This window comes from Homo sapiens, chromosome 19, assembly GCF_000001405.40.
Source record: "Homo sapiens chromosome 19, GRCh38.p14 Primary Assembly".
Lineage (NCBI taxonomy): Eukaryota > Metazoa > Chordata > Mammalia > Primates > Hominidae > Homo > Homo sapiens.
The window spans coordinates 29016701-29038839 of NC_000019.10; the positions used below are offsets into that span (position 1 = coordinate 29016701).

At 49.0% G+C, this 22139-nt stretch overlaps 1 annotated feature.

Moving 5' to 3' along the window:
• Positions 2418 to 2919: an enhancer, noted in NCBI's record as "H3K4me1 hESC enhancer chr19:29510025-29510526 (GRCh37/hg19 assembly coordinates)". NCBI's record gives its function as "activates a minimal SCP1, AML or CMV promoter by ChIP-STARR-seq in naive H9 embryonic stem cells {active_cell/tissue: H9 hESC(naive)}" and the evidence as "EXISTENCE:reporter gene assay evidence [ECO:0000049][PMID:30033119]".

A 22139-nucleotide genomic window follows, 5' to 3' on the forward strand; every position in this document is an offset into this window, starting at 1 on the left:
CTCTCTCTCTCTCTCCTTCTCTCACTCTCTCTCTCTCTCCCCCCACCCCCACCAATTTTCTTCTGACATTTTCTAATCTGAGGTTGCGTTACTCCATGTGCCTGGAGAAGACGATGGCAACATAGGATTCTGCATGTAAGGATTTTCCTAAGGGAAACAGGGTTGGAAGAAAATGGAGGGAAAGTGGGAAAAGCCTGGAGAATCATCAAAAGGAGGTGCAAACCTGACCCTAAATGAAGGGAAGTGGGAGGGAAGCTTGGGTGGGAGCCACCTAGACCATGGTACAGTCTAGGGAACGTCCACCAAGGCTGTAAGGGAAGCCTCCAGCCAAAATCAACCAGCAGAGTGGTGCCTTCTCCCAGTCTGCCAGGGCTTGCCTGTCTTGGGAGCCCTGCCTGGCTCAGACATGGGCTGGGAGCAGCTCCTGGGAAGCTTTGGTGTAAACGCTGCTCAGAGCACAGAAGCTTGGTCCAGATCCCTGACGTTGGAGATCTGTCAGGCGCATTCCCAGGTCACGGTAGCGAACCAGCCCCACTGACACGGGATGCTTCCTGCAGGGCTCCCTGGACACACATTCACCCCCAGTGCTGAATCCAACGGATTCTTTCTGTACTCACTGACCATCCTCCTTCTCCATGGAGGGGGTTAGGCTCCAGGCCCTAGGAGAGCCAGGCTAAGGGAAGAGATGGGAAAACATGAAATTGTTTGAGGTAGGGGGACATGGAGAGGGTAGATGCTCATTGGCTGAAGCTGAGGGGCAGGTTAATGCAGGAGGGGCAAGGAATGGCCCCCAGCCGCTGTGGCCTGAGGGAGGCTGCTTGCTACCTTGATGCAACTTTTAATCATTATCTCATTTTAGAGATTAGTGTATCTCACACTTTGTCATGCTGCAAGAATGCCGTAAGCTGCAGAACTTGGCAACCAGAGATTTCTGGGCTCTATTTCCAGAGAAGTTGCTTTTCTAACAAATTCCCAGTCATGCTGATATCGCCAGCCCAGAGACCACACTACCCAAATAATTTTGGTGAGAGCCACTTTGGACTGCCATCCCTAGAGGTGGCTTCTTCTTTTCTGAGGAGGACACCCAGGGCCCAGGGACATACGTGTTTGCCTTAGGGAGCTCCTGGCCAGAGCCAGGCCATCCTCTCATCCCAGGCAGCTCAGCTCCGTTTGCAGTGCCTCCATCTGGGGGAAGAAAAGGGAAGAGGTGTCAAGCCCAGTCAAAGGCAGGAGAGACCAATGTCCATGCCGGTCTCATCCCTGGGGCCTGTTGTGGTCACATTTAGTCCTGCCGCCTACTGGGGGCTGCTGAAGTTTGCCAAGGGAAGACATTCTCTTGTCATTGGGGTGACACTGCAAACTCTGCCTCCTGGGTTCAAGCGATTCTCCTGCCTCAGTCTCCTGAGTAGCTAGGATTACAGGCATGCGCCATCACGTCCGGCTAATTTTTGTATTTTTAGTAGAGACAAGGTTTCATCATCTTGGCCAATCTGGTCCCAAACTCCTAACCTCAGGTGATCCACCTGTCTCCGCCTCCCAAAGTGCTGTGATTATAGGCGTGAGCCATCATGCCTGGCTGCAAAGGGCATTTTGAAGCTCTTGTCCCTGATCAATCCCTCCATGCTGCAGATGAGGGCACAATCAAGGGCAGAGAGGGGAGAGGGAGGAGCAGCTCTTAGTAGAAACGGTTTTCTTAGTGCATCCTGTGCACCGGTGGATATGCACATGAGCATTTTCTCTTCCCGTTTTGCTCCAAAGCGTGTGAGATGTTTGTGCTATGGCAAATACAACACCTGTAGGAGTGTGTTATGGGTTGAACTGTGCGCCCCCAGAAAGACATGCTGAAGTCCCAACTCTCAGGATCTCAGCTGTGACCTCATTTGGAGACAGGGTGATTGAGATGTGATGAGTTGAGATGCAGTCATCCTGGAGCAAGGTGGCCCCCAGTCCATGCTCACTGGCATCTTTACAAGGAGACAGCCTTGGGAAGGCACAGGGTGGCAGGGAGCATGCCATGTGAAGACGCAAGTGGAGAGGGGAGTGATGTGGCCGCCAGCCGGGGTTGGACTGCCTGGATTGTCAGGAGCTGGGAGAGGCCAGGAAGCACCCCCCTCCTGAGGCTGCAGAGAGTGCATGGCCAGGCTGACAGCTTGAATGGTTTGGACTTCTGGCCTCCAGAACTGTGAGAGGATACATTTCTGTCTATTACAGAAGCTCTAGAAAAGTCATAACAGAAAGTGTCTGAGGAAAGGTGCCTGGGGGTTCCTGGAAGTGCCTGGGGATTCCTGAGGGTGCATGGGGGTTTCTGGGAGTGCCTGCGGTTTCCTGGGGGTGAATGGAGTTCCTGGGGGTGCCTGGCGCATAGCAGGCAGGGACAGTGCATGATTGTTCTGCTGGCAGTACTGGGGGCTGGGCTGGCCACCCCAAATGTTACCCTGGGCATCTGCTTAACAGCCCAAACAGAGGGAATAATAGACCCTCAAAGATGGCTCCGTCCCTGAGGCCTAGAGGGCTGTGTGAGAGCTGACCTCAAGGCCAAATTCTTGCCCCCTCTCTCTGTTGGTCCATGAGCCCCAGGATCCTCTTCCTGGCTCTACACTGAAGCCTGGACTTGGAAGCTGCCATCCTAAGGCCTGCATTTAATCAGGAGAACCTGAGGATGTCTAAGCCATTAGAATAAATCACACAGATATTCCTTTTGGGGTGTTTGCAATCACTTCATAATTAACTGACGGCTTCATAGCAGCCACTTTCACGTGTGTCCAATGGTCACATAACAACATCGCCTACTCTGTGTCTACACCACGGCAGCGTGGGAGGGCTGGACGCTGAGGGTGCATCCTGCCACCTCTGCAGCCCCGGAGCCCTCCCCCAGCAACAGGGGTTCGTGGGGGCCTGGGCATCAGATGGGTGCTCAGTGCGCCTCCCCTCTCACCTCATCATGAAACCTACTGTGGGTCCTCTCGCAACAGCAGCACCCTTGGTGACCGCCTGCGGATGGGCCACTGTACCGGACATTGTGCTGACAATGTCCACGTTGTCCTGTGGATTTTACAGCAACCCTGCAGAGGGGAGTCTGAGGCTTGGAAAGGTGACATGACCTGTCTGAGGACAAGGAGTCAGTGAGTGGTGGGGCTGGGGCTCAGCCTCAGCCGTTAGGCTCCCGAGCCCTGCTCACAAATCAGTGTCCTGGGGAGGGCAGCATGGATTTGGGGTTTAACCACCTCTGGGCTGTCTTTCTGCCCAGCACTAACCCTCGGTGTCCCCCTGTGGGCTGCAGAGGGGCTAGGGCTGGGGACAAGGTGAACTGCCCACTGTCTCTTAGTGAGATAAATGGAAAATGAATAAATTCCCTGAGGTAAGTGGTCAGGCAGGACTTGCAAAAAGTGAAATGATTCAATAATTTGATTTTTAAAATTAATGAATGAATTAGGACTCTTTTTGAGACAGGGTCTCACTCTGTTGCCCAGGCTAGAGTGCAGTGATGTGAACACAGCTCACTGCAGCCTCAACCTCCTAGGCTCAAGGATCCCCTCACCGTCAGCCTCCTGAGTAGCTGGTACTACAGGCACATGCCACCATGCCCACCTAATCTTAAATTTATTTTTAATATATTTAAGATGGGGTCTTGCTGTGTTGCTCAGGTTGGTCTCAAACACCTTGGCTCAATCCATCCTCCCACCTCAGCCTCCCAAAGTGCTGGGATTACAGGTGTGAGCCACCTCACCCAGCCAATAGTAAGATTTTGCTAATGATTTTAGATGCTCCTTCAATAGGTTCCCTCTCTAGCTTTCCCCAACTGTTGCCTTCCAGTGCAGCTGTGAAAGGGAACCAAGAGAGCCCCCCTCCCATCCCCGCTCTCCAGAACTGCCCACTGGTGGAACTATCTCCCGCCCCTCCCCTCTCCCCATCCCTCTCCCATTCAGGGCCTCCTGGAGGTCGGGTGTGCCACACGTCTACATGCGCTGTTCATAACCAGAGGGTCTGAAGTCACACGATTCGGGGTCCAGCCGCAACTCTGCCCCTTGTCAGCCAAGTGAGCTCAGAGAATTCACTTCTTCTCTCTGATCTCCACCTTCCCATCTAGAAGATGAAGACACAAAACAGTTTTCCTTCAGGTGGCTCATTGACCTACTCTACAAATATTTCAGAGCCTTTTCTGCCAGGCCCTGTTCAAGGCTCTGGGTATAAATCAACGAACCCAACAAAATCCCCTGCTCTAGCCCAAGGGAGGTGAGCACCAAACAAAGTAGAGTATAGGGTTAGAAGGAAGACAAAGCGGAGTGGAGGCGTGGGGTGCCCCCGCACAGTGAAGCCTTCTCTCCCGCGGCAGGAACCCCTGGGCTGCAGCTGGGGACCGCGGGACCGTGTGCAAGACAGGAGCACTGAGCCTGGAGAGGGAGTCCCAAGGACTTCGTTTGAGTCCCTGAACACAGCGTTGCCTGAAGGGACATCTGCCCTCCTGGTCTTTGGAATTCTTGAAGCTAATTCACTTTCCCCAACCCCTACCGGACTTTCCCTTTTTATCTAAATCAGAGTTGGTTTTCTGTCATCGTCATTTGAGAGGGTCCTGGCTCAGGCACGTGCTTAAATGCTTCTAGTTTGTTTTTCCTTCTATTTAGAGGGTACGATGATTTCACTGTGCACCTGCAGTGGGGGTCTGAGTCTGCAGGCAGGAGGAGAGGGCTCGCTGCTGAGTGATGAGCGCACCTCCCCGTCCTCTCTCTGTCTGGGGAGAACCAGGCGAGGGAGGTCCAAGCCCTCACACCCATTGGGAGCTCAGCCCCCTTTTCTGAGAGCACTTCCGTGTCACCGTGTGCCTGTGGACTCCTTTATTAATTGCTCCTTAGAGCCTAAAACCCAGTTCTTTTATGAAAATTATGAAACCATCAAGCAGCCTGACAATGAAAATAATGCCTCTCTAGTATCAATGTTGTAACACTCCCTCCCGTGTTTCTGAGCAATGCATTCATCCCTGTGAGTGTGGAGCAGGCAGGAACCTGAGTGGCGTGAATAATGGGGCCCTCCGCAGCCTCCTACAACCAGGGACAGGGCTGGGAGTGGAAGGCAAAGCGTTGTTCCATCAGGAATAGATTATTCATAATTTCATGCCCTTCGGACCAGCCAGGGTCATTAATCTACGGAGAGCCTCAAGTCCTAGAATGGTGGAAGCCTTGACCGCATGCAATGCAGTGCATCAGAGTCCTGGGGTGGAGACCATCCCATCCTTCCCAGGCCATGCTGGGGGCGGCCTCCAAGCTCCCACCTGCAAACCGGAATAGAGCGAGAATGTTCTATGGAGGTAACAACTTTGGACATAAACATCTGTCATTTGGGCTTGTGCAGGTGGAGTTGAGCTCCTGTATATCCTGTTCAGAAGGGGAGGACTTGGGGTCAGAGGAAGTCCGTGCTGTGCTCCTCCTAGGACCCCGCACCTTCCCTGTGCTGGGCCGCGGGTGTGCGCAGTCTGACTCCATGGCACACGCTCAAGTGGGGTGTGTGCAGTGCAGGAATGCTGTTTTGGGGGCGGGGGCTTTGCGCCACTCCTGCAGTGGGGAAGGGGGATGTCCAACTTCAGCGCACAGTGGGGAGCAGCTGGGGCACCGAGAGCTCCTTTTCAGGATTCTTATTTGATAGGCGAGAAAGGAGGGTGGGAGAGTCCAGCCGCTCGCATGAGGTTGCACAGCTGGTAAGGGTGGGGCTGGGAGACACAACCTGTGCCCAGGGCCTCACTCTTAGTCGCCACCCCTGAGGGCCTTCCTGGCACACACACTAGGTGTCCAGTTCTGTTCTGCATGCCGGCTGTCCCCAGCAGGGCCCAGGTGAGCACATGGTGGGGAGAGGGCTGAGGAGGAAGATGTGATCCAAAAGGTCAGTTCTAGGTGTTGGGAGAAGCAGTAGGTGTGGAGAGGGGGTGAGGGAGCCCTGACTTCCTCCCCAAGCAAGGCTTTCCTGCACAGGTTTTTATAGGGGACTCTGACAGTAGACGACTGTGGGGTGACTGAGTGCTGCCAAGCTCAGGAAGCTGGCGGCAGGGGGAGGACCTGGAAATGCCTTCCCCGGAGGAGCCTCCAGCGTGGAGCAGCAGACAGGCAGACTGTAAATAACAGAGGAGGGTAATGGGAATACAGCAGGGAATACAGGTGTGACGCCTGCAAGAGCCCCACCACATCCATTCTGGGAGATGCCCCCCCGCCACTGCCAGCCCTGTCCAGCCTGGAGGGGGGCCGGAGGAAGACAGCTGAACTACGCCCCTCTGATTGAGCAGAGGGCAAACATCCCCTGCCTTTGTTCTCCTTAATCTAAATTGAATCTGGGGAGGGGGACGATTGCAAGGTGGAAGTGAAAACCCAGCTGCATTTCAAAATTACACTGATCAAAATGGAAATGGTCTGGAGGTTTTGAGGAGGGATGGCTGATGCAGGTACAAACCTTACTTCACATTAATTGGCACCCTTTTCAGGGAGGAAAGGGCAGGAATAACTTCATAATACTATAAACCAAGACTGTGGCCACTGCCATCTGTGCTAAGAAGCCAAGGGAGACTTTGAGGCTGGAATCCTTGACCCTCATTGTCTAGACCCTGAGGCCTGCAGAGGTCCAGAGGCATCCCCTGCTGCGTCTTCTCAAGAGTGAAGATCTCCTGCCCTGATCTCACAGCCTTCTCTGTCCCCTCTGACACTCTTTGACCCAAGTCTCAACAGTACCTGCCCGGTTGTGGAGGCAAAAGGTGTAGAAGAAGGGTCAGTAGCTTGGAACTGGCTGTAGCTTGGAGCCCAGCCCTACCTCCATCTGCTTCAAGGCCTTCCCTGAGTCATTGGCCCTTACAGAGAGCATTCTCCTCTCTCCACACCTGCCCAGTCTCCAGGGACTGCCCTGCCAACATCCTCAGGATCACTCATTTTGGTCAGCACAGCAAGGTGCGGGTCAGTGTCTCCAGGATTCCAGAATCCATCCCAGGAGCTCACCCTCACACTCCTTCCCTTAGAGCATATAGGAAGATATCCCCTATATACACACACTCTTATCTCTCCTTGAAATTAAGCAGTATTCACTCAGCCTGCAGGAAAGTAGTCCAAGACTTTTTTTCATGTTAATCTAAATTAAATCTGCAAATGGAAAGAAGGCCTCATGTGAGAAGAAGCCAACCTCATCCAGTTGCTGGCCGAATGTTGGAGGGAGAGCGAGTGCCTGGGTGAGCAAACGCGTCGTTGTGAAATGTGCATCCTGCGCAGGACCATGTGCACATGTGCAGGTGTCTGGGGAGGGAGCTTGGGCCATGATTCCCAACCTGCCTCCAGGGAGGTCCCTGGCATTCTAGATGTTCTGTGTTTAAAAACAGCCTCTCCAGTGGTTTCAGGAGTGAAAAGGATAAAATCTAAGAGCTGTGTGACCCCACCCTACCTAAACCTTTCCGCCTAATTAATCCAGGACTCAGAAGCCTCAGGACCATTGCTATGCCTCTGAGGCAGATTTGGGCTCCCTGAAGCCCACATGGCCCAAGATAGCTTGGTCTGAAACCTCAGCATCCGCCTCACTCCTCTGAGCTAAGCCGTCTTGGCTCCAGAGGGTCTTTGACAGAGTGTGAATAACCTGGGAGGTTTCATACTCATCAACACAGCAGCCTTGGGCCGGATAAGAAAGGGCTTGCTGCCTGGTCCTACTGGAGAAAACCTGGAATTTGGGCCACCAGATGGGTGCCCAGGGTAGGTGGGAAAACAAAGTTCTCCAAGTGCGTTAAGCTGCTGATCTGATGGGGCTGCCAGGTAAAGTACAGGATGCTGAGTTAAATTTGAATTTCATGTTGGTGATGAATCTTTTTAAGTGTAGGTATGTCCCATGCAACATTTGAGGCATACTTATACTGAAAAAGTGTTTATTATTTATCAGAAATTCAAATGTAACTGGGCATTTTTAATTTTTATTTGCTAGATCTGTCCATCCTAGCTGCTGAGGGCAATGGCATCTTGCAAATAAGATGCAGGGAGCAGCGATCCTAGTGAGTTTCCACCCAAGGATCCAGCCTTTCAGGGGACAGTGCACCCCACGCCAGCTGGGAATGGCTGAAACACTGGGCCAAAGCCACCAGTTCTCAAACGAGTTGACAGATGGAATCCTGTCTTTATTGATATCTGTCTAGTGAGGTCTTCCCTGAGACTGCTGTTTGAAGGCATAGGTGTGTCCCAAACGTGTCTGTGTGCCCTGCAGGGCCAGCTCAACCCCAGGCAGTGCTAAGGGCCAACACCTTGGGGCTGGGCGCCGTGTTGCATGTCTGTAATCCCAGTACTTTGGGAGGCCGAGGTTAGTGGATCCTTTGAACCAGGAGTTCAAGACCAGCCTGGGCAACATAGTGAGACCTCATCTCTACTAAATCAATAAACAAATAAAGGTGGTGCGTGCCTGAGTCCCAGCTACTCAGAAGGCTGAAGTGGGAGGTTTGCTTGAGCCCAGGAGGTCAGGAGGTTGAGGCTGCAGTGAGCCATGATCCACTACTGTAGTCCAGACTGGGTGACAGAACAAGATGCTGTCAAAAAAAAAAAAAAAACAAAACACCTTGGGTTTAGTTCCACTTTTACTGGACACAATCTCTCTAACACTATGTGTCCTCATCTGTAAAATGGGGTCAATCATCTCTTCTCTACTGGTCCCACAGTTGCTTGTCACGAATAAATGATAAGTTTTAGGAAAATAGTTGGTGAACTGTAAAATATTTCAAATCAAACATCCTACAGTATTTGTGTTGCTGTCAAAATACGACTATTACATTCCCCTGAGCAGAGATGTCTTACTTGGTTCCTCCCTCCTTGGTGGGAGCAGCCCCACCTTACCAAACGGGTTTCCCAGAAGGCTGTTACAGAAGGTCTCGGTGCAGGATGGGCTTGCTTCGGTCACAGTGGCATGGCAGCCCCACCACGGACATCAGCAGCCAAGCCTCCACCAGATGCTTTGACCAATGTTGCAGGCAATAGGAGGCACTAGGGAGGCATCAGCACACCCCAGCTTGGACTGTCTGTTTTTAAATAAAATAAACCCTGAGCCAGGCGTGGTGGCTGATGCCTGTAATCCCAGCATTTTGGGAGGCCGAGGCGGGGCAGATCACCTGAGGTCAGGAGTTCGAGACCAGCCTGGCTGACATGGTGAAACCCTGTCTTTACTAAAAATACAAAAATTAGCCGGGTCTGGTGGCGCATGCTTGTAGTCCTAACTACTTGGCAGGCTGAGACAGGAGAATCGCTTGAATCCGGGAGGCAGAGGTTGCAGTGAGCCGAGATCATGCCACTGCACTCCAGCCTAGGTGACAGAGCATGACTCAGTCTCAAAAAATAAATAAATAAATAAATAATAAATAAATAAACCTGCAAGGGATGCAGCATGTCAGGAACGGATATAATTTTAAGTGCTTCTAACTGAAATATGTAGATTGATAGCTGAATCACAAGGACATCTCAACATACATACGTTTATTCCCACACTTTCAACCGTGTACTCAACACACCTTTCCTCAGCCCACAGTGAGTCCGGTCTTCCCTCTGGGAAGCCGAGGCAGGGGTGCTCCAGGCTGCTCCACGGGAGATCGGGGGCTCCTCAGACCTCCCCTCCCCAGGCCTAGCGATTCAGTGTCCAGCTTCAGGTCAGGCCCGGCCCCACTCCCCACCTGTCTTTCTGTCTCTGTCTTTCTCTAGGGGTCAGGCGGAGCTCCACCAGTGTCTCCAACTCAGGTGCTGGAAACCAGTCACAGCACTGGGCTTGGTGACACCAGGCCAGGGACCTAGCAGACCCTGTGTAGAGCTGATTTCTTGCTCCTCTACACAGGGGGTGGGGCTGCTGCCCTTCAGCAGAGCCTCGGCTTTCATTTAAAGCCAGCAGTTTGAGCCCTGCCACAGGACATAGTCAGAGCTTTGCCGCAGCCTGCTGCTCCCGGGGAGGCTTCCCTGATTGCTGCAGCTTACACCACGCTCCCTGCTTCCTTTCTGCTTCTCAGTGGACACGGGTCAGCTCCCTCATCCTGCCTGGGGCGTCCTCAGCTCCTGGGCAAGGCCAGCAGCTGCTCTCCATGCCCACCGCAGGGGTGGGAACACAGAGGTATTTAGGTTGCGACTCAATTAGAATTTTTAGAAATCTCCCCCTAAGTATTTTCCAAGCTAGTGAAGAAACAGAAACCCATAACAACCACGAAGCAGCCGTGTGACAGCAGCACGCTATGGTACTGGAGCAAGGAGATCAGCCCTGTGCTCAACAGGATAAATTTTTTTTTTTTTTTTTTAAAGACGGAGTTTCACTCTTGTTGCCCAGGCTGGAGTATAATGGTGCGATCTCGGCTCACTGCAACCTCCGTCTCCTGGGTTCAAGCAATTTTCTAGCCTCAGCCTCCTGCGTAGCTGGGATTACAGGCGCCTGCCACTTAATTTTTATATTTTTAGTAGAGACAGGGTTTCGCCATATTGGCCAGGCTGGTCTCGATCTCCTGACCTCAGGTGCTTTGCCCACCTCAGCCTCCCAAAGTGCTGGGATCACAGGCGTGAGCCACAGTGCCCGGCCAACAGCATGAATTTTTAGGACCCTGCAGGAGGAAACTGTCTGGGGCGCAGAAATGGGTTCATTTCCACCCAGGAAGCTCAGCTGCCCAGGAAGGTCACAGAACTGCTCGTGCCTGCTAGACTGGGATAGGACAGAGCAGGGACAGAAGGTGAAGGGCAGATGCCTTGTGCATTTGGGAGGAGAACGGAGCTGAGAAGTAGGCAGTGGTGGCCACTTTCAGCCACAGCTTCACCAGGCTCTAACATCAGGGGGCACAGGCCTGGTGACAGCCCCAGGACCTCACCACCTGGGTCAACTACCCCTTGGCAATCTTCTCTAGGCTTTGTGGTCTTTGTGTCACTCTGTCTCCTCTGTGGATTTTTCATTATGGGCGTAACAATTACTGGATTGATGCGTCGCCTTTGAAAGCCTTGTTGGAAGCGTGTCGCTTTGGAGAAATGTGCTCAGGGGAAGCCTTGAACATGCATTATCCGCCCCCCAGGTAGGCAGGCCCCTGTCTTGAGAGCACACAGGGCATCTTCTCACTCCTTAGATCTCCTGAGAGGTGCCTGGCGCTGGGGTGTTATCAACCATGGTGATGTGATGGGAGAGGCGCACCAGGGAGTGCAGGGAAGAGCAGGCTGACTTCTGGCTCTACGAAGCTGGAGAACCCTGCTAGCATAGCACAAAGAGCGCCGGACTGGGTGCCAGGACAGCGGGTCCCAGGCTTGACTCTAGCTGCGTGTCATTTGGCATTGCTTCCTCTCTCAGTGTCCTCATTTGCATAATTAGGAGACAGAATATTTTTCCAAGAGTTGCTCATTCATTCATTTAAGAATATTGCAGAGGCCGGAAGTGGTGGCTCACGCCTGTAATCCCAACACTTTGGGAGGCCAAGGTGGGCGGATCACCTGAGGTTGGGAGCTGGATACCAGCCTGACCAACATGGAGAAACCCTGTCTCTACTAAAAATACAAAATTAGCTGGGTGTGGTGGCACATGCCTGTAATCCCAGCTACTCGGGAGGCTGAGGCAGGAGAATCGCTTGAACCTGGGAGGTGGAGGTTGCGGTGAGCTGAGATCGTGCCATTGCACTCCAGCCTGGGCAACAAGAGCAAAACTCTGTCTCAAAAAAAAGAAAAAAAAGACATGTCTGTAATTCCAACACTGTGGGAGGCCGAGGGGGCAGATCATTCGAGACCAGTCTGGCCAACATGCCAAAACCCCGCCTCTACTAAAAATACAACAATTAGTTGAGTGTGGTGGCACGCCCTTGTAATCCCAGCTACTCAGGAAGCTGAGGTAGGAGAATTGCTTGAACTTGGGAGGCAGATCGTACCACTGTAATGCATCTCCAAAAAAAAAAAAAAAAAAAAAGAAAGAAATTGAATATTCCTGGGCGCAGTGGCTCACGCCTGTAATCCCAACACTTTGGGAGGCCAAGGGGGAGGATCACTTGAGGCCAGGAGTTCGAGACCAGCCTGGCCAACGTGGTGAAACCTCGTCTCTACTAAAAATACAAAAATTAGCCAGGCATAGTGGTGCATGCCTGTAGTCCCAGCTACTCAGGAGGCTGAGGCAGGAGGATCATTCGAACCTGGAAGGCGGAGGTTGCAGTGAGCTGAGATCACACCACTGCACTCCAGCCTGGGGGACAGAGCGAGACTCCATTTATGAAAATAAAGAATATTTATTGAGTGCCTTTTATGTCCCAGGCACTAATCTGGGCATTTGAGCTACAGGAGTGAACCAAAGAACCCTAGTGCAGGAGCAGGGGAGTGCTCAAAATAAAACTTGAAGCAGGGTGGTCTGGAGAGGCCCCATTGGAAGACTGTCTCTTAGCGACTTTCTTTTCCTTCAACCCAGCAAGGCCAGGCCTGTGGGTGAAGAGTTGTTCATTTACAAATAGACTAGGCCAAGAAAATCTTACCCTCTTTGCAAGTGAAGATCAATAACTCATGAATTCAAAACTAGGTTTGTGAACAATGATGCTTATGTTAATTTAATTTTATCAGTAGGTTTAATAATGTCTTATTAATTCAATAGAAGGCTTTTTAAAAAAAATAATGAAAAGCTGCATTTGAATTAGTCTTGAACCAAGCAGGGCGCTGACCTTGGTCTCCCCTGACGATCCACAAATAAGGCTTTTTTGTGGACGAGTCGTGCCTGCTCCCTGCCATGCATGGTTCTTTCCATCCCGCCCCACACTGGTTTCTGGCATCTGGCTTCGCCTGTCTGATGCAATGCAGAGAAAGAGATCCAGAGGGAAACGTGGAAAGTGGGAGATGGGGTGGAATGTGTGGAGGGAGACTTACTCTCAAGGAAGCAGAAAGCAGCTTCTTCCCAGAATCTCTTTACAATTGGAGAGGCCCCATCAGCTGTGGGGAGGGAGGGCTGCTCACACCTGCCTGTGGGCAGCAGGTAGAATAAATTATTTCTAGAGGCTCTTTGAGCAACACTGGAGTGAAATTAGGCCACCTTCCACAATTCTAGGATCCTGCTGTCTACCCCCAGAGCCTGATCAAAACATTACTCCACCAATCCCACCAGGTCTTCCAGGGCTGTGGGGAGAAATGTCTTTGTTCCGGATAACCAGAGCTGTGCTACGGCACCTCTGCAGGATGGGGTAGCTCAGAGTTGGGGACCCCAGCTTCCTCTCTCTGGCAGGGTTGGTCTCTGGTTAGACGTGCTACTAGGGAGCTAGGCCACGTGGACATCACAGACAGGTGCAGGCATTTGGAGGAGAGGATCACAGCAGATTCCGGGAAGTTGGTGCCCTTGGGGCCTGGCCTGATCTTTCCTGTTAAGCTGTATTGTAGGCTGAGCACCAGCCAACTCCTTCTACTGCCCAAGAAGGGAAGGCTGGAGCCTTGGAAGTCTGCTCTAGATAGGCCTGCTGGATGTGAGAAGAAACCAGGCAGGATCTGAGGAAACCACTGGTGCTGGCTGCGGAGTCCAGAGCTGATCTCCTGAAGATTAAAAGTTATATCAGTAAGGAGAAAGTTGGAGAGCGGCCCTTTGGGCTCCAGAATCAGCTGAATTCAGGAGACAGGTTTTGGGAGGAAAGATCCTAAGCCTAGCTAACTCACTGCTCAGTCAATGGTGGAGAATGACTCATCAAGAGTCAAGATAATGAAAGGTGGTGGAGATAAAGAGGATGGTGATGGTGATGATGGTGGGAATAAAGATGAGGACACCATTCCTTTCCTCTGTATTCAATTCCTTGCCACATGGGCCTACCCAACATCATGTGTTTTTTCATCAAAGCCAGCAAGGCAGAGAAGCAATAAAGTCAGCTAGCAAGATGGAAATTACAGTCTTTTGTAACCTAATTATGAAAGTGACACCACATCACATGTGCCATGTTCTTGCTTTTAGAAGCAAGTTACGAGTGGCCAGGCCAGCCCACATTCCAGAAGAGGGGACAACTCAAAGGCATGAATACGAGGACATAGGGATTATTGGAAGCTTCTATGGTTTGAATGTTTGTGTCCCTCCAAAATTCATGTTGAAACGTAATCCTCAATGCAACAGTATTAAGAGATGGGTCTGTTAGGAGGTGATTAGGCTATGAGGGCTCCACTCTTAGGGTTGATATCAGCGTCCTATAAAGGGGCTTGAGGGGGCAAGTTAATCCCTTTCATCTCTTCCACCATCTGAGGATGCAGCAAAAAGTGCTACCTTGAAAACAGAGAGCCAGCCTTCCACAGACACCACATCTGCTGGCTCCTTGATCTTGGACTTCCCAGCCTCCAGAGCTGTGAGAAATAACTCTGTTGTTACAAATGACCCAGTCTAAGGTATATTGTTAAAGCAGCACAGAACAGACTAGGACAGGAGGCAACTTAGTCTGTCCACTGCACTAACCCTCTAGTCAAATTCAGTGGTGTAAGGGACTCCAGATGAAATCAGCAGAGATGAACAGCCCAAACAACTCACAGAATGGTGAGAAAAAAAATGCTCTTTTCAGCTGCTAAATTTTGGGCTTTTTTGTTATACAGTCAGAGCTAAATGCAGTATTTCAATTTTGTGTCAGAAATGGCATCCTGCTTTAACAAAAACCTAAAACGTGGCATGAACCTTGAGACTAACAAGCAGACAAAGGCTGAAAAAGCAGCTTCTGGAAAATGGCTGGTGGAGGCTGAAAGTTCCTACAGGAAGCTGGGGGGAGGATGACATTTGTGGTGTAATCATGGAGTACTGAATAGCCATGCCTGTGGTCAGTTCAAAGATAGAAATATACCTCATGAATTTGTAGATAGGGCTCAGGAGATATCCAGGCAGTATGCAGAATATATCAGTTGGCTTTTTATTTCTCATATGCATTTGATAAGATATAGAAAGAGGGGGATAAAGTGAAGAAGGGACTGCTGAATTTGAAAGCAGAATTTAGAAAAAATACAAAAGAACCAGGATTTTCTGCAGTGGAAAATAAAACTGTTGCTCAACTTCAGTGTTTTTCAACTAGAAAAATATGCTCTGAGTACATTAAAACCTGGGTGAACTTGGAAGGGTGCTACCAGCAAAATATGCCCTCAGGGTCAAGATTAAATTAAGGGTATAGTAGGGAAGGTCAAATGCAAACTTCTGACACTGTCCCTTTGGTCAAGACAGTAAATAAGAAGCAATGCCACATTCCAGGTAAAATGTCAGGAAGCAGAGCTCCCCTCAAAGATTAAAAGATGCAATGGTTCCCCCTATATTCCTGAGTTTAATTCACTAATACAGCCATTTAAGAACCAGAGGATACATCAGGAACACAGATGGTCATGGTATATCAGAGAAGACTCCTGTGGTAAGCTTAAAGGCCCCTGCCTATACCTAGGCCCTAATCTCTGTGAGTGTTGCCTTTGTATGGCAAAAGGAATTTGCAGATGTAATTAAGTTGAAGGTCTAGAGATAGGGAGACTATCACCAGTTACCCAGGTAAACCCTGAATATAATCACTCATGTCCTACTAAGAAAGAGGCAGAGGGAGATTAGAATACAGAAAAAACATTGTAAGTTGGGCAAAGGACATGGACACTTCTTAAAAGAAGATATACACACACGGCCGGGCATGGTGGCTCACGCCTATAATCCCAACACTTTGGGAGGCCGAGGTGGGCGGATCGCGAGGTCAGGAGATTGAGACCAGCCTGGCTAACACGGTGAAACCCGGTCTCTACTAAAAATACAAAAAAATTAGCCAGGCATGGTGGCGGGTGCCTGTAGTCCCAGCTACTCAAGAGGCTGAGGCAGGAGAATGGTGTGAACCCGGGAGGCGAAGCTTTCAGTGAGCCGATATCGCGCCACTGCACTCCAGCCTGGGCGACAGAGCAAGACTCCGTCTCAAAAAAAAAAAAAAAAAAAAAAAAAAAGACATACACGCAGCCAACAAATGCATGAAAAGAAAAGGTACTCAACATCACTAATCATCAGGGAATCGCAAATTAAAACCACACTGAGATACCACGTTACATCAATCAAAATGGCTATTACTAAAAAGTCAAAAGACAAAAGATGGGGGTGTGGAGGTGGAGAAAAGGGAACACTTATATGTGTTGGTGTGAATGTAAATTAATTCAACCTCTATGGAAAACAGTATGGAGACTTCTCAAATAACTAAAAATTAAGTTACTATTCCACCCAGCAATCCCGCTGCTGAGTATCTACCCAAAAGAAAAGAAAGCATTCTATTAAAAAGACATCTGCACTCAGATGTTTACTGCAGCACTATTCACAATAGCAAAGTCTTGGATCCAACCTAAGTGTCCACAAACGGTGGACTGGATAAAGAAAATGTGGTACATATACACTGTGGAATACTATGTAGCCAGAAAAACTAATAAAATCATGTCTTTTGCAGCAACATGAATGGAGTTGGAGGCCATTATCCTACATGAACTAACTCAGAACAGAAAATAAAATATTAAACAAGGCCAGGCGCAGTGGCTCATGCTTGTAATCCCAGCACTTTGGGAGGCCGAGGTGGGCAGATCACTTGACACCAGGAGTTTGAGACCAGCCTGGCCAACATGGTGAAACTTCATCTCAACTAAAAATACAAAAAATTAGCCAGGCATTGTGGCAGGTGCCTGTAGTGTAGATGCTGAGGTGGGAGAATCACTTGAAACTGGGAGGTGGAGGTTGCGGCAACTGAGATCGCACCATTGCACTCTAGTCTGGGTGACAGAGAAAGACTCTGTCTCAAAAAATAAAATAAAATAAAATAAAATAAAATAAAATAAAATAAAATAAAATATTAAATGTTCTCACTTAAAAGTGGGAGCTAAACAATGGGCACACACAGACATAAAAATGCAGAGAATAGACACTGGAGACTCCTAAAGTGGGGAGGTTGGGAGGGGGAATGAGGGTGATGGGTGCATTAGAAGCTCACTTCCCTCCATTATGCATGTAATATCCATGTAGCTAATAAGCACATGGACCCCCTTAAATCTAAAACTTAAAAAACAAACAAAAAAGGAATACAGAAGAAGAAGGAAATGATACAACTGAAGTCAACACTATGCTACTGCCTTTGAAGATGGAAGGGGCCCTTAGCCAAGGAGTGAAGCTCTAGACAGTGGAAAAGGCAAGAAAACTTATCCACTTTTAGCACTGCTAGAGGCAGCATAGCCCACTGTCACCATCATTTCGGTCCGAAGAAACTAATTTTGGATTTATGACCTCCCAAACTGTAAGAGAATAAATGTGTGTTTTGTTTGTTGTTGTTGTTTTCTGAAATGGAGTCTTGCTCTGTTACCAGGCTGGAGTGCAGTGGGGGGATCTGGGCTCACTGCAGCCTCTGCCTCCCAGGTGATTCTCCTGCCTCAGTCTCCCAGGTAGCTGGGACTGCTGGTGTGTGCCACCACGCCCAGATAATTTTTGTATTTTTAGTAGAGATGGGGTTTCACCATGTTGGCCAGAATAGTCTTGATCTCTTGACCTCGTGATCTGCCCGCCTTAGCCTCCCAAAGTACTGGGATTACAGGTGTGAGCCACCACGCCCAGCCAAATGTGTGTTGTTTAACAAATTTATGTTAATTTGTTTCAGCAGCCATAGGAAATTAATACAACCACCCAAAACTTACCTAAGTGGTAGCCCCAATTATAGCAGCTGTAGCAGATATTGTATTTTTACTAGAATAGACCAACCCAACCTCTGACATAAATAACAGCTATTGGTCTAGTGAAAGCATCCGTTTCAATTCCTATCATCAAGACAGATGGAAGACATTTGCATTCATTTGAAAGGACAGCAGCAGACACTCACAGTGTTGGCAAACCTCTGGGTTAACGCTCCTGCTCTCTGTTGCAATATAGTCCAGTTAGACCTGTCCTGTTGGCACTCCACGGAATATCCCACTAGTCCATAACATTGATGACACCATGGTAACTGAATCTAGGGGGTATAAAGTGGCAAGTACTGTGGCTACACCAGGGGGTGGGAGATAAACCGTTTGTAGATTCAAGGTGACTTGTGGAATGCTGGAAAGTGCTTCTCCCTTGCAACTCTTACTGCAAGATAAAGGTGCAACTCTTAATAAGTCTCTTACCTTTGGAAGCAGCACACACCACACTTGGGAACCTACATCGCTCCACTCATTAAATCACTCAGAAGGATGCTGCTTTTGAATGAAACCCAGAGCAAGAGATACCTCTAGAGCAGATTCAGGCTGCAATACAATCCCCACTGCCAGTGAGTCACATGACAGAGGACTGGAGGTATCTGTAGCAATCAAGATGTGGTTGCATCTTAGGCAAGTCCTAACAGAAGAGTCTCAGAGAATAACCCTGGGGTTTTGCAGCAAGTCCGTGTCCTCTTGTGTTAGTCTGCTGGGGCTGCTATTACAAAATACCACAGACTGGGTATTAAACAACAAAACAACTAAGCATTAAACAACAAAATCGTATTTTTTCACAAGTCTAGAAGTTAGTATTCCAAGATCAAGGTGCTGTCAGAACTGTTTTCTGGTGAGGCCTGTCTTCCTGGCTTGCAAACAGCTGCCTTCTTGCTGTGTTCTCACATGGGCTTTCCTCTGTGCTTCTGAGGAAACAGAGAGACCTCTCTCGTCTCTCTTCCTTTTCTTATAAGGACACTGGTCCTATTGGATAGGGCCCAACCTTATGACCTAATTTAACCTTAATGATCTCCAAACAGGTCACATAAGGTTTCAACATATAAATTTGAGGGGGACTCAATTCAGTCTATGACATATCTGCAACAGAAAATTATCTACAATTTAAAGCTCCTGGCATACTATTGGACCCTAACAGAGGCTGCACACCTGATCATAGGGCATCAAATTTCTTCCCAATATGATTTGAGTTTTGCCTCCTGAGCTGGGTGTTGTCAGCCCACTAATTAATAAGGTTAGGCAGGTATAACATCATTTTATCATATAGTGGCAATAAAACGTTTGGGATTAGACTGAGTAGATCCAGAGGACACAAATAAATTAAACTACCACTTGGCCCAGACCCTCACATCCCCTATCTTTGCTGCACAGATGGGTCTTCCTCATTCCATATCTATGGCTTTATGAATGTTTACTACCACCAGCTGAAAAAGGAGGAAAAACATGTTTGGTCCACTGATAAGTTAGGACAATATGTTGTTACAAGCCCAAAATGGACTGTTGCTACCCTTTAGTTGCATTTCAGAAGTAAAGAAGACTTCTCAGTGGCTAGGCTTAAGCAGTACACCTGGTTATTAGCTTGTATTAGAGTGAGAAATGACCTAAGATAAGAATATTCAGGACCTTTGGCTATTATGAATGGCTTTGCTGGTTGTTCAGGAACTTTGGATGGGGTTGGGGGGCTGCAAGAGGGGAAATGTCCCAGGATAAAGTATGCAGATGTATCTATGAGAGTGGCCTTGAGGTGTGAAGATAGTTCTATCACATGCTCATACCCACTGGAGAGCACAGATGACAGAGGAGGCACTGATCAACTAAGTAGCTTAGATGATCAATCTTTGCCCACTCCAGTGCCTGTAGGATGGGTCCATGAGCAGAGAAGCTACGGTGGCAGTGGGTGGCAGTGGTGCAGGTTATGTACAGTTCCAAGTGGGCTCTTGCTCATCAGGACTAATGCAGCCACTGTCATTATTGAAGATCTGATGGATGAGTACTAGATGCCAAGGTTGAGCCCTCCATGGGTACCAGCTCCAAAGAACAGTGTGCCAGTGGGTTCTCCAGAAAGAAGATGTCAAGATGGAGTCAGCAATACAAAAGAATTGTTGGGGGTAATGCCTGTGAAAGATAGAGGGAAGAGGGGGTAGACTAGGAAGGGCAAGCCTGCCAGATGTAAGGCAAACTTTCCCAGGAGGAGTGAGAAGGGAGGAGGGCTGGGTAGGACAAAATTCCATCTGAGACATGAGAAATAAAAATAAAATTCTAAGCCTCCACCCAACTGAATAGTAAACCTCCTCTTGGTTAAAGGGACCCCAGAGTGACCTTGCAAACTGAATTCTCGACCATGACAGGAGGGAGGTCGGACACACCTCATTATGTCCCCTCCCTTGCTAACCACCACTACACCTTCTTCCCTAAGAACCAAACAGAAACCAGCCCTTTCAACAGACTCCACACTGGTATCAACCAACCACCTAATGCTGCCACTGTCTTTTGCAGTTTCAACACAACTGACCCGCATTTTTTTCCCAACAAGAGACCACTGATCATGGCATGGTTCTGGTGAGTCTATGGAGAATGCCCAGTTTTTGCGTCCTCTGCTTCACCTTTTAATGTCAGAGGGCTGAAAACTCCACCTTGGTTCATGCTAACACCATATTTTGTACATGGGACCCATGAAGGGGCATGAAGCTCCATTGAACATGTGCGCATTTCTCCTTTCATAAATATTCATGACTACTCCTATAGCTTATTAAATATGTATACTTAGCCATCCTGCTCAGCATAGATGTCTGTTCCTTTTTCTTCTCCCTCCAAGGGTTGGTTTTTCATTTCTGATCAGAGGCTATGCTTCCTGGCCCGTCAGAATGACCACCCTGCAGGCTGCAACCCTTTATAAGAAATAAAGCTCTCTTTTCCAAATTTATGAACCTCATCATTCTTCAGGTGGCAGGTGCAACTCTAAGAATGTCTCTGCCAGCCCAAAGGGAAGTTCTGGCAGAAGGACTGATGGCTAGGAATGGTGCCTGGTTCCACTGCATGAGGAATCTTTGGTTTAGCTTGAAACCAGAGGTAAATTCTGAAGGCACCCATAGCTGGAGGCTACTGTCAGTTAACTGAGCTTCTATGACTGCCACAGTTACCAGCTAGCCATATGGTGGCAAGTGGACTCTATTGGGCACATTGCCCCATGGAGGAAGCTGTGTTTCACCCTCACTTGGGACTGTTTCATATTCTTAAGAATAATTTGGCTTCTCTGCCGGAAGAGTCTCAGTGTCTGGTTGTTCAGAGAATCTCACATATCATTGGCTCCCACCAAGGGACCAAATTTACAATGAAAGAGTTTCCACAATGGCAGATAACCAAGGACTCCAATCCATGGTATGTGCATTGGAGCCAGTTTGTATTGGCTTAGGAGAGTTGGCTGTTAAATATTCAAGAATTTTGAGAGGCAGTTGTGAAATCTCTGGGTGATTGAAATTGGCAATAGCGAAAGCATTTACATAACAAAACTTGGGCAATCTTTACAAATCGGACATCCCTCCCCCTTCCCCTACACACAAACCAGTTTACAAACACACCACTGAGACCACTGGTGCTAATACACTACATCACCCAGAGCTGCCAGCAGCCTGAGAAAATGCTGAAATGGCCACTTCAAGGACATGAGCATCAGATTAGGAAGAGTCCTTTGTGGGTTTAGGGGTGGTATTTTTCAAAATGCAATCTCTATTTGGAACCAAAGACTATGTATGGTACTGTGTCCACAATAGATAGGGCACACTTGTCTGGGAACCAAGGAGTGAAAATAGGAGGAGACTCTGCTATTAAGTCAAATGGCCCACCTGGGGAATTTCTGCTGCCTGTCCCCAAAGCTTCAGGCTCTGCTGGGCTAGACACCCTGGAAGAAACACTGCCACCAGGGACACAGTATGGATTCCACTGAATCTGAAGCTGCAGCTGCTGGCTTGTCATTTGCAGTTCCTTACCTCAGTAAACCTGTAAGCAAAGAAAGGAGTTACCAGCCTGACAGGGTATTGGCCAAGCTTATCATGAATGACAGAGTTGCTGCTGTGTAGGGGAAGCCAGGAGGAGTTTTTGGAGCTCAGGGAACTTACTTGGGCAGCAAATCTTGATGATTCCTTGTTTGTTGATAACTGCTAATGGGTAACTTCAAAGCCATGGCTTGACAAAGGTATGAGAACCAAATGCCCAGATCCATCAGGCATGAAAGTCCAGGTGACCAGGCAAGCAGCCTATAGCATGCTGAATGCTGATAGATGGTGATAGGAGCATAGAAGTGGTGGCAAAGGAGTGAGATATTGAATAGGAAGCCCCAACCTCAGGAGCAACTGGCCCCAGCTATAGCTTGTCCCACAAAATTTCCTGTTGATGATTGACAAACTGTGATTGACCATGAAAAGAAGTTGTTATCAGGGTAAATTTAATGTGGGTCACAAGTGGACCTGAGGGGAAAAAGGATGGACCATGGTGAATGCT